Source organism: Homo sapiens, chromosome 14, assembly GCF_000001405.40.
Source record: "Homo sapiens chromosome 14, GRCh38.p14 Primary Assembly".
Classification (NCBI taxonomy): Eukaryota; Metazoa; Chordata; class Mammalia; order Primates; family Hominidae; genus Homo; species Homo sapiens.
In genome coordinates this window covers 76,266,586-76,278,705 of record NC_000014.9, presented here as the reverse complement: position 1 = coordinate 76,278,705, position 12,120 = coordinate 76,266,586, and the positions used below count along the sequence as shown (strand labels likewise).

Genomic DNA, 12,120 nt, shown 5'->3' with positions numbered 1-12,120 from the left:
AGCGGATGGATGAAAGAAGTGCTTAGGAAAAGCCTGGCAGAAAGTAAACACTCAATAAACACACACCATCATTATTAGCATCATCCAAATCCCTGCCCTACCTGCACCTGTCCCACCACTGCTCATGTTTTCCTATCATTTGTAGAAAACAATAAAATACAAGCACAAACACAGGTCTTGGCCCTGGGCTGTCTGTTAACCAGCACATTGCTTCTCTTCTGTTGTCTTCCTGTTTGCATCCAGTTCTTCCACAATCCCAGCCAACAATTTTCTAAAATGAACAGAGAGGATCCTGGTCTATTCTTCTAACTCTGCCTCCATTCTTCTCCCCTCCTCCCCCTTTTATTTTGGCCCAGGAACATGTCCCCAGCATGTCAACAGCAGTGGGAAGTAACCTAATTAGTAGTTATTTGATAGACTGCCCACCCTCCTGTCCCACTGGCAATCCAGCAGCCTTGTTCTGCAGACAGGAAAATATTTCCTTGCTAATTAATCTGAGCACAGGGATTTGAGTTTGGACCAAGGCAGGGAAATCCATCTCCAGGAGTCTTGCTCAATTGCATCTGTTTCTCCTACAATCATTTCCTTCCCTCTGACTCCCCCCTGCTCCAACCTACCCCTCTCCAATCTCATCTTCTACCTTTATTAAGGCTGGTTACCCTGATGACTTTCCGCATGCCCCCTACGGCTGCTCTTACGAAGAGGTTGCTCTCCCAGGACGCACTTCGAGTTGGCTCCTCCAGCACTAGGCGCTGCCTGAGGCTAGGCAAGTTCATGCTCCTAGGCTTGTAGCACGTGAGGCACCAATGGCCTGGTCTGTTCCACTCCCAGGCCCCATCAGAATAGCACACACCTCACCGCAGTGCCCCCTGCCCCGGCACATCACACTCCCAAACAAATACAGACATCTCACTGTCGTTTTTAAATAAGGTTCAGCTGCTGTCCCTGGGCCCTGCCCTGGTCCTCTGTAGAATCATCTATTTGCATCCAAGGAAGCTCCTAAGAAAGGGGCAACTGTACACACAATTCCACGTGCTTTTCCTCCCTGGCAGCGAGACCTGGGTGCTGCGTATGTCTCCAGGACACACACTGAACACCGGCAGTTGGAATGGGGTCTTGGGTGTTGACGGGAGACTGAGAAGGAAAAGAGGCTTATCCATGATGAAGGAATGATGGTTTCATTTCTGTTGGATGAGCTTAGGATCAATGGAAAGAAAGCTGTCTTTGCCTGATACTAACTTTTTAGACAAATATGAAGATTTCAGCGAGAGAGAGAGATTGGTTGTAATTGGTAGATATTCTATTGTTATTGTTTGTCCAGCATACCCTTTGTCTGATAACTTCTCTCCAGTTTTGCTCTGGCGAGCGCTGCCACATCCATTACTTGCAGCCTTGGAGGCACCGCCAATCACATGACTCATCCTGGGCCAATCTCTCCTTAGGCGGTGAGTGTAAAGTTGGATACCCAAAGGCTGAAAACAGCCAAGCATCCCCACATCTTCAGCCGCCTTGGCTCCTTTATGAGGGTTGGCCTTTCTGTGAGCTCTGCCACCCTTCCAATACATTCCAGTTTTGCTTAGGTCGGCTCAGTCAGTTTCTGTTTCTTGCAACCAGACAACAATGGAGCTGGTGATACAATGCCTTGGACAGTCTAACCTTTGCCTTACCAGCTTCTCCTTTCTATCTCCTAAGTCCAGGTCTGGGAAATTTTGTTTAGTGAGGAGTCGGGCAATTTTTTAATGAAATTGCAGTATAAGGGGCTGAAGGTGAATGTTCTTCCCTTTGAAGTCCCTGGATCTCTTCCTTCTCAGACTATTTCTCAGAAATGTTCTCCACTTCACTTGGGAAACATCTCCAACACCGTAAGAGTTTTTTCTCTCTGACTATATCCTTCCTGTGCCCAGGCAATGCCCCCAGTCTGAGCCAATCATTACAGAGCAAAAGATCAGGACCTGACTGGATGGTCGGTGATACTCAAATCCACCCAACTTCATTGAATGTAGTGGTGCATGTCTATAGTGCCAGCTACTCTGCAGGCTAAGGCAGGAGGATCACTTGAGCCCAGGAATTTGAGACCAACCTAGGCAACATAGTGAGACCCCACCTCTAGAAAAAAATTTTTTTTAATTAGCTGGGCATGGTGGTGTGCACCCGTAGATCCAGCTACTTCGGAGGCTAAAGTGGGAGGATTACTTGAGCCCAGGAATTGGAGGCTACAGTGAGCTACGATTGTACCACTGCACTCCAGCCTGGGCAACAGAGTGAGATCCTGTCTCAAAAAAAAAAATTCACCCAACTTTTAAAGGACAGCTGGGAGGAAAAAGAGACTGAACCTTGTGGTAGATGTGGATCCTTCCAGATCCAGCTATCCTTCAGTACCTAAATCTGCATAAGCCACAGGGAGGCCAGCTACTTCATCTACCGGCCTTTTAAAGGAGGCACAGAGCTCCCCCAAAGATATTAATTGTAGGAGGCAGATAACGCAATCTAAACCCAACTTGAAAGTGGTAATATTTTCTCAAGTATCAAGGCATCTTACCTTTCTACCCAGATGGTGCTTTCTATGATTTGAACATAACATTTATCTTCTTTGTTGCTCCATATGGGTCCTACCCTTATAACAAATGCACTACGTTGGCCTTAATGTTGATTTCCCTCATTATTCAAGGATGGTCCCTGGACTCCACTAAATTCTAAGGGTTCCATAGCCTTCCTCTGAGAGAGTTGGCCAATTCTTGCAAAACTAAAGAAAGTTATTTATTAAAAAGAAGGAATAATGTCCTAATGACAAATTTATGATGTCCCCATTTCCTCAGAGCCATAGCAGAATTCCACTGTTTACAGAGCACATGAATAAATCCAGATTGGCTCCATTTGTTTCCAATGTTAGTGAGGTAGCACGAAGATTATGATCCTGTTGGAAGCAAAGTCCTTCCAGCCACTGAGGAAGGGCCATGTTATATACCACGTGGGGCTACCTTGACTTGGAAGCATTTCTTGAGAACACTACTGGGGATTACTGTTATCTATTCTGGGCCCAAGACTCCCCTGATGACACCACATTTCTTATGAAAGAAGAGCTCTCTCTCCACCTACCAGCCACCTAAAGAATAAAGCTCCTCTAGACCCAAAGAACATACTCATGTTTCTCTTGGACAGGGCTAAGTTAATCCCAAAGGAGAAGTGACATTTTCCAAATGGTATTTACTAATCTCTATTGACCAAGGCCTGTAATCTCAGCACTTTGGGAGGCCAAGGCGGGTGGATCACTTGGATCACTGGAGGTTAGGAGTTTGAGACCAGCCTGGCCAACATGGTGAAACCTCATCTCTACTTAAATAAATAAATTAGCCAGGTGTGGTGGCGGGCACCTATAATCCCAGCTACTTGGGAGGCTGAGGCAGAAGAACCGCTTGAATCCGGGAGGCAGAGGTTGCAGTGAGCCGAGATCGCACCACTGTACTCCAGCCTGGGCGACAGAGCGAGACTCCACCTCAAAAAAAAAAAAAAAAAAAAAAAAAAAACAAATAACAACAACAAAAATTCTCTTGACCAAGACACTACTTTCTTTAATCTCATCCTAAATCTGTCTGAAAAAGCCATGCAAGCTCACTTGTCTCTTTCAAATATGACTTGGGAACCTGAGTGGTTCAATCCCAAAGGCCTCCCCATCCACCATATAGCAACATGGCCAAGAGCACAGGCACTGGAGTCCAACTGCCTAGGTCTAAATCCTGGCTGGGCTATTACTTGTTGCACTGGTTATCTATTGCTGCATAAGAAATTATCCCAAACCCAGCAGCTTAAGACAAGACTCCTTGTTGGAGTGTGCACAATCTGTATATTGAGGGTAGCAATAGTACCTACTTTACAAGGATGTATGTGGATTAAGTGAGATCATGCAAGTAGGGTACTTTGTGCAGTTTCCACTACATAGGAGGGACTCAATATACAGAGATGCTACAGATGAGATCAACCTAAACCCTGGGCCCCTTTAGGAGCCACAGTTTCTGTGGCTCCGGGAATCTGGGACTAGCTGAGCTGGGTCCTCTGGTTTAGCATCTCTCACAAGGCTACAGCCAATGTATGGCCCAGGGTTGCAGTCATCTCAGACTTCCAAACTCACTCACATGGTTGGTGGCAGGATTCAGTTCCTCATGGGCTGCTGATGGGAGGCTGTCCTCAGTTCCTTGAGGCCTCTCCAGAGGACAACTGACATGGTAGGTCCCTTCACCAGAGCAAACAATCTAAAGGAGCTAGGGAGAGAGAGTATGAGCAAGACAAATGTCACGGGCTTTTGCCCTAATCTCAGAAGTGACATGCCGCACTTTGATCTATTCTATCCATTAGAAGCAAGTCACTAGGCACAGCCCACACACAGGGAGCGGGAACTGCATGTGGATGTGAATACCAGAGGCAAGAACCTTAAGGGCAGCTTAGAGGCTGCTGACCACACCAGTCATGTGACTTTGGCAAGTTATCTCACCTCCCAGTGCCTCAGTTTCCCCATCTGTAAAATGGGAATGTTAATAATTAATAGCAATTAGCCTCCAGGGATAGTGTGTGGGTTAAATACATGAATTCCAGTAAAGAACTTGGAAACATGCCAGGGAAGAGTGCATGTTCAATACATCTTTGCAATTACAAGTATTTACAGGAGGGGAGAAATAACAAAGGTGATTTGAGATCCTGGCATGCACCCACTAAACTAAGTCCCAGCCTGGTTTGCTACTGCAGAAAATATTCCAGTACCACAAAGAGAGAGGGGGAAGTGGGGCTGGAAGCAGGAGGAGATGCAGGCAGACAGGTCATCAGGATGTGTGATGCGAAAGGTGGGGAAAGGAACCTGGCAGGCCAGGGCTGTTCCAGGAGCCCAGGTCTTTGTCTCCTAAAGAGGCCCAGGGTTTAGGTTGATCTCATCTGTAGCATCTACATATATTGAGTCCCTCCTATGTAGTGGAAACTGCACAAAGTACCCTACTTGCATGATCTCATTTAATCTACACACATCCTTGTAAAGTAGGTACTATTGCTACCCTCAATATACAGATAGTGCACACTCCAACAAGGAGGATTATAAATTGTAATTTACTGACAAAAAAAATGGAAGCTCAGAGAGGTTAAGAAACTTGCCTGGGGTCACACAGCTTTGGAGTAGCAGAACAGGGAGTCAATTGAAGTCTGTCTGACTCAGGGCCCAACCTTGAATCCACCAGGCTAACAGGCAGGGACCAGGCAGAGAACCGAAAACAGAGCATGCACTCCTAGTGTCTCCATTCATTCTTACTCTGACCCCCACTCTCCAGCCTCCCCAATGTGAGAAACAGGCTCTCGGGCTTCTCCAGAGCTGCACATGCTGTTTCTCAGCCTCGCCTCCCCATCCTTACAACCCAAATGTGAGCCTTGATGGGGTCCAGCCTCTAGCCTGCCTGACTCACCCTCTCCAGCTCTTTGCATCATTATGTCTGCGATAGACTACATGTTTATCCCCCCAGAATTCTTGTGTTGGAACCCTAAGCCCCAGAAGGATGATATTTGGAGATGGTGTCTTCATGAGGGTAGAGCCTTCCTGATGGGATTAGTGCCCTTAGAAGAAGAGATACAAGAGCACACTCTCTCTGTGTGTGCATGTGTGTGGGTGTGTGTCCCTTCTCTCTCTCTTCCTCTCTGTCTCACTCCCTCTCTCTCTGTCTCCCTCTCTGTCTGTCTCTTTCTCTTACTCTCTCTGTCTCTTTCCCTCCCTTATCTCTCTCTCCCTCTCTCTCTGCCTTTCTGTTTCTCTCTCTGTCCACTCCCTCTCTCTATCTCTCTCTCCCTCTCTCTCTCTTTCTCTCTGTCTCACTCCCTATCTCTTTCTCTGTCTCTCTCTCTCTTCCTCTCTCTGTCCCTCTCTCTCTCTCCCCTCCCCCCTCTCTCTGCCTCTTTCTGTGTGTCTCTCTGTCTCTCTGTATGTCTCTCTATATGTCTCTCTGTGTCTCTGTCTCTCTGTGTCTCTCTGTCTCTATTTCTCTCTGTCTGTCTCTCTCCCTCTCTCTTTCTCTCTCTCTGTTTCACTCCCTCTCTCTCCCTCTCTATGTGTCTCTGACTCTCTCTCTTTCTCTCTGTCTCACTCCCTCTCTCTCTGTGTATGTGTCTCTAACTCTCTCTCTTCCTCTCTCTTCCTCTCTCTCTCTGTCTCTCTCTTTCTGTCCCTCTCTCTACCCCTCTCTCCCTCTGCCTCTCTCTCTGTATGTCTCTGTATGTCTCTCTGTCTCTCTCTGTGTGTCTGTCTGTCTGTCTCTCTCTCTCTTTCTCTCTCCCAGGTGAGGACATGAGAGAGCAGCCATGTGCAAGCCAGGAGGAGGAGGCCCTCCCCAGAATCCAACGAAGTTAGCACTCTGATCTCCGACTCCCAGCCTCCAGCACTGTAGAGAAATGTATTTAAGCCCCCTAGTCTATAGTATTTGTTATGGCAGCCTGAGCCAACTAAGACAGTCATAACAGAAATAGAGCAACCTTAACACCATCATTGCAATCCCATCCTGCTCCTTTAGATTTCTTACAGTTGTCACCGTCTGACACCAAGTGCTTTCCAAAGTCACCTTTCTTCTCCACCTTTGTATTAAACCCTTTTCTTCAGATCATATTCATCTATCTTGAGCTCAGGAGCTGGCCTCGCTGACCCCTAATTCTTATGACACCACGAAGATCCTCCTTCCCACAAACCACTACTTCTAGATCCATATCATGGAGTCCCAGGCCACCCTAAAGAGATGCCCACTGTCCTGAGTGACCAGTGGCCCCCTCCAGGAGAAAAAGATTTTTCTCTGCCCATCACCAGGATGGAAGAGAAAGCCAGAGGCCCAGAGGAGAGACAAGAGAAAGATGGAGACCGAGGTGTAGACTCGAGGGGAGAGAGCGTGCTCTAGGGGGGCTATAAATTCCCTTCTAATTCCAAATAATTCCGATTACACGGATGAGTAGTTTTCAATCAGGAAGATAATCTCAGAGATAGATGGCAGGATAATTGTTCGTAGCGCCGACGTAAATATTGTGTCGTTTCTATTAATCTCCGCGAATCGGCTGTCAGAGGTGTCACTCATTCATCACAACAAATTAAAAATAGAATTTTAAGAGAGAAAGTCACGCCTGGGGGTGGGGTGGGAGAGGCTGGGCTCGCTTCAGGAACTGTGAATAAGAGGGGGAGGTGTCGCCTGCAAGCTGTTGCCAGAAATAAATCTGGCTTCCCAATTTAATATATTTATTTATGAAAGCAAATGGTAACGAGGGCTGTAGATCTCTATTAACTTCCCTGTAAGAGTGTGCACACATGTGAGCATGTGCGTGCACATGCATTGATGCAGAATGCCATACTAAGCCAAAGCATGGGCTGCCACTCTGCTAACATTGCCCTGGGGTGAAGCATCCTCAGCCCCATCTGGACCATGGAGCATGGACCTCCCAGGGGCAGGTCACCTGTATTCTGCACACCCCAGCCTTTCCCAGCCAGTGAGGGGTGATGGTGGGCAGGTCTAGGCATTGAGACCCCCCTTCATATTAGAGATCTGAGATCATTTTAAAGATCAGAGATGGGCTCACTTCAGCAGCACATATACTAAAGATCAGAGAGAAGCAGTAACTGGACTCACACTGGTGTTTCTGAAACTGCTGGCGATTTTCTGTAATGCCGTGGCCTTGCAGGGTTATACAGGCACCGAGGAACATAAATCCAGAGTAAAGATGCTTTAGAGCGACATCTGAGTGACAAGAGTAGGAGCTCATTTCTTTGTCTCTCTCTTATTTCAATTCCTTGAGGGCTGAGGTTCCTCCATGAGAAGGCACCCTTTCCCAGGATCCTCCCCCACCCAGTCCCCCCTCCATGCCTACCCACCCATGGTGGCAGATGCAATAGACAACACGGGTTTTGCCACTGGTTTGGAGATCCTAGCACGCACCCATTAACCTAAGTCCCTCCTGCTTTGCTGCTGCAGAAAATATTTCAGTGCCTCTGTTCTCTGCTCTGGGTATATTAGATCAGCTCCAGTCTTTGTATATGTAGCTATTTATAACAATCGTCACCCACACATACTTCCAAAATGGATTTCTCAAAGAAATTGCAATTTCTCAAATTGCATACCATTTCTATTGCCTACAATGGCAGTGTGTTTAAGGTCCGTGAGCATTAGTCCCTGGTCCCCAACACTGAGCCTATTGTCTGGCACCACACTCAATCCACTCATGTTTGTTGAATGAGTGAGTGAGTAAGAGGGTGGGTGGATCAATGGATGGGAATCAGGGTGAAACTAAAATGAGGTGGCTTCGGAAAGTTAGGAATACATTGAGTGCCCAGAAATACATAAGTGAATTCCCATATAACTGCTTGAGGTGGGCAGAGAATTTGGAGTTATGCTTTCCAGAAACAAAGCAAAGAAGGAAATTCCCTTCCTTACAAGATTCACAATGTTCCTAAGCGTTGCTCAGCTGTTCCACAGAAGCCCAATTAAAGTCAGAAATTTCTCCCGAGGTCTCATCAAGTGGGCACCATGGATAAGGCAAGTCCCAAGGTCTTGTAGGTCTTTTCTCTTGGTTTCACTGGTTTCCTCAGGGAGGAGTCTTCGTTCTCCAACTTGACTTACGTAAATCCAACTGTTGAAGCTCCAGGAGCCAAGTGGGGAAAGGAATAAAGGAACTGATTTTCAGTGTAGAAACTCACTTAATGCTCCTATTTTCAATATGGAATCCCTGCCTTCAGCCATGTCTAGAATTGAGAGTCCAGAGCCTTTCTGGCTCAATTTCTCCAGAAAATAAATCTCTTTCCTTTCTCTGTGGTAGAGGAGGGGAAATCAGTAGCCCGCATTGTGGAGAGGGAGGAAGGAGGGTATAGGGCTTCTAACAGCTACTTTTCTGAATTTAAACCTGTCCTTTTTATTTTAGTCCCATCTAGCTTGTTTCTCTTCTCTTCTCTTCGCTTCTTTTCTCTTCTTCTCTTCTTTGAGACAAGGTCTCGCTGGAGTGCAGTGGCGCTATCTCGGCTCACTGCAACTTACGCTTTCCAGGCACAAGTGATCCTTCTACCTCAGCTCCCTGAGCAGTTGGGACTACAGGCATGTGCCTCCACACCCAGCTAATTTTTGTATTTTTGTAGAGATGGAGTTTTGCCATGTTGCCCAGGCTGGTCTCAAACTCCTGGGCTGAAATGATCCGCCCACCTCAGCCTCCCAAAGTGCTGGGATTACAGGCGTGAGCCACCGCGCCTATCCTCTCATTTTCAAGGGACCCGGTGCCTCTAATACCTCAGCCTTGCTGGGGTCCCAGAACTTCCTGTAACCTGCTTTGGGGTTCCGCTCTCACTCCCTCACACCCCTACCTCCGCCCCACTCCTGACTTCAGCTTTAGCTTTCCTTGGTTAGCCAGGTCAGCAACTCTTGTTCATTTGGTTTCCAACTTCCAATATTTAATTGCTATCATCTCCTTTTCATTTCTAATATTTAATTGCTATCGTCTTCTTTCATTTTCTTTATCCTTATGGGCCCGTGCCTTTTAAAATCCATTTATCATACTTTAGCTGGTTTGGGGAAGGGATGACAATAAATGCGTGTATTTCAATTTGCCATAGTTGATTCTGCATCTCAGCAGCCTTCAGATAATAAACATGCTTGTGTATTTCCTACAACCAATGTGGCAGAGCCAGCACTGTGGGTCCGCCATCCTGTTCTCTCTTGTTAGGCACTCGGGAGAACACACTTCTCAGACTCCCTTATGGACAGGTTGGGATCATGTCGCTGAATTCCCGTGAATGGAGTGTACCAGGGAATTCTGCGCATTTGCCCTCAAATCCCTCTCATCCTCAGGAATGAAAGAAAAACACTCAGGGACAGCTGTGTGCCAGCAGGGAGCAGCCTGGATCTCTGGGTCTCTTCTGGAGGAGACCCCCCCACCGACTCACCTTGCACTGTGAGGTGAACACGAAGTCAACCGGTGTTTAACCCCTGCGTTTCACTTAAACCTCTGTGTTTAAGCCAACTGTGTTTAACCCCTGAGATTGAAGGTTTACTTGTTGTCTCATCATGGTCTGGAATATTCTAACGAATACAACTGCTTTTTATAGCGTATCTCCATAAAAGCCAAGGGCATATTCCCAGAATAGTTGTCTAGGGGAGCAAAGCAGTATAGTGAGAGTACACAGCTTTCGGTGGTTCCAGCATGGCCTCGGGTGCACGCTGGAATATCCGGAGGAACTATCCGGGTGTAAACGCTCCATACAGTCCTCCATGTGAATTACTTTTTGAAATCAAAATTCTTATGAGTTGGCCAGTTAAGTCTTTGGGGTTATATTCCTTAGCAAGCATTTGTAATACAGATACTGTGTTTTCATTAAGTGTGGAAACATGGCTTTGAAAATGAGCCAGATGAGAAACGGAATTAACATGCTCTTAGGAAAATGAAGCTGCTGGCCCGTACTCCGCATGAACAGAAGGACGGCTGTGGGACCTCTAGAAAACAGCGGTGTTCCTCCAACGACAGTTCTAGAATTCCTCTAAGACGAGCACAGGAAGGTGGAGGTTCCAAGGTGGACGGTTAGAGTGGACATCTGGGATTTATCTGCCAGACAGTTATTCTCTTTCCTCTGGTAAGAAGCTCTAATTTTCCTTGAAGACCTCCTCTTTTCTTTCTATCAATGTTGGTAGAGTGGGGCTGACCGCCCCCGGCCCCGGCTCCCCGACATGCCCCCTCCCCCGCCCGCCGGGGCACGTGACCAGCTCTGGCCAATCAGCTTGCTGTGTTCTCCGGGCCACAACGATCCGCGCAGGAGGAGCGTGAGGTCTCAGGAACTTAAAGAGAATGAACCCTGGGGATTTTGTTGAAACTATTTGTAAAGACAGCCAACTGCTACCATTTACGTTTCCCCTGGGGTTGTTAGGCTGAATGGACGCGGACCTGGGGCTGCTGAAAACCCTGTTGTCTCCAGGAGGGGAGCAGTTTCCTGGAAATGAAACTCGTCCAGAGGAACGTAGGGCCTAGAGGTAAACGGGGCTCTTTCAGCCCCCGCTGGCTCATGGTAAATCCCAACTACATTTCAGGATTGGGGAATAAAAATGAAGAGCTGGAATAAGAAGAAAGAAAGTAGGGGCACTGGGCACCACGTGGCCCCTATGTTTTCCCTCTCCAGCATAATTCAACTCCTCTTGGCTATGAATATCTGTAGAAGCCCCACGTCTCCATTATGCCTCTGGCTGGCGGGAGGTTTTGTTTGTTTGTTTGTTTTAACCAGACTCCTTGGCATTCAGAGAGAACATTCAGGAAATGTATTGTGGAGGCAGACCATTAAAAACATGCACCTGGGCCGGGCGTGGTGGCTCACGCCTGTAATCTCAGCACTTTGGGAGGCCAAGGCGGAAGGATGGCTTGAGCTTCGGAGTTTGAGACCAGCCTGAGCAACATAGTGAGACCCCCATCTCTATTAAAAAATACAAAAATTAGCCCGGCATGGTGGTGCGTGCCTGTAGTCCCAGCTACTTGGGAGGCTGAGGCACGAGAATCACTTGAATCCAGTAGGTGGAGGTTGCAGTGAGCCAAGATTGTGCCACTGTACTCCCCCCTGCGCAACAGAGCAAGACTGTCTCAAAACAACAAACAACAGAATAAAACCATGCACCTGGTACAAGGAGTGAAGTTAACATCTCAAAAACCCTCAAACCCTGTAATTTTCCTGGTAGCTAAGATGCTTGATATCTCTTGGTATCTCTCTCTCCCTTTCCTTTCCTTTCCTTTCCTTTCCTTTCCTTTCCTTTCCTTTCCTTTCCTTTCCTTTCCTTTCCTTTCCTTTCCTTTCCTTTCCCTTCCCCTCCCCTCCCCTCCCCTCCCCTCCCCTCCCTTCCCCTCCCCTCCCCTCCGCTCCCCTCCCCTCCCCTCTCCTTTCCTCCCTCCCTTCCCTTTTGAGACGGAGTCTTGCTTTGTCGCCCAGGCTGGAGTGCAACGGCAAGATCTCGGTTCACTGCAACCTCAGCCTCCCAGGTTCAAGCGATTCTCCTGCCTCAGCCTCTCGAGTAACTGGGATTACAGGCACTCACCACCACACCCAGCTAATTTTTGTATTTTTAGTAGAGACAAGGTTTCACCATGTTAGCCAGGCCGGTTTCA

The 12,120-nt window shown here is 47.5% G+C and overlaps 1 long non-coding RNA gene across 1 annotated transcript in view, besides 1 other annotated feature; it reads left to right on the top strand.

The window, feature by feature from the left end:
* The window catches only part of LOC105370575 (uncharacterized), an 83,107-nt gene that overhangs the window by 31,714 nt on the left and 39,273 nt on the right, over positions 1–12,120 (top strand). The window lies entirely within an intron of this gene.
* Positions 10,686–10,980: an enhancer, noted in NCBI's record as "tiled region #6100; HepG2 Activating non-DNase unmatched - State 24:Quies, and K562 Activating non-DNase unmatched - State 23:Low". NCBI's record gives its function as "activates a minimal TATA promoter and a strong SV40 promoter by Sharpr-MPRA in HepG2 and K562 cells {active_cell/tissue: HepG2 | K562}" and the evidence as "EXISTENCE:reporter gene assay evidence [ECO:0000049][PMID:27701403]".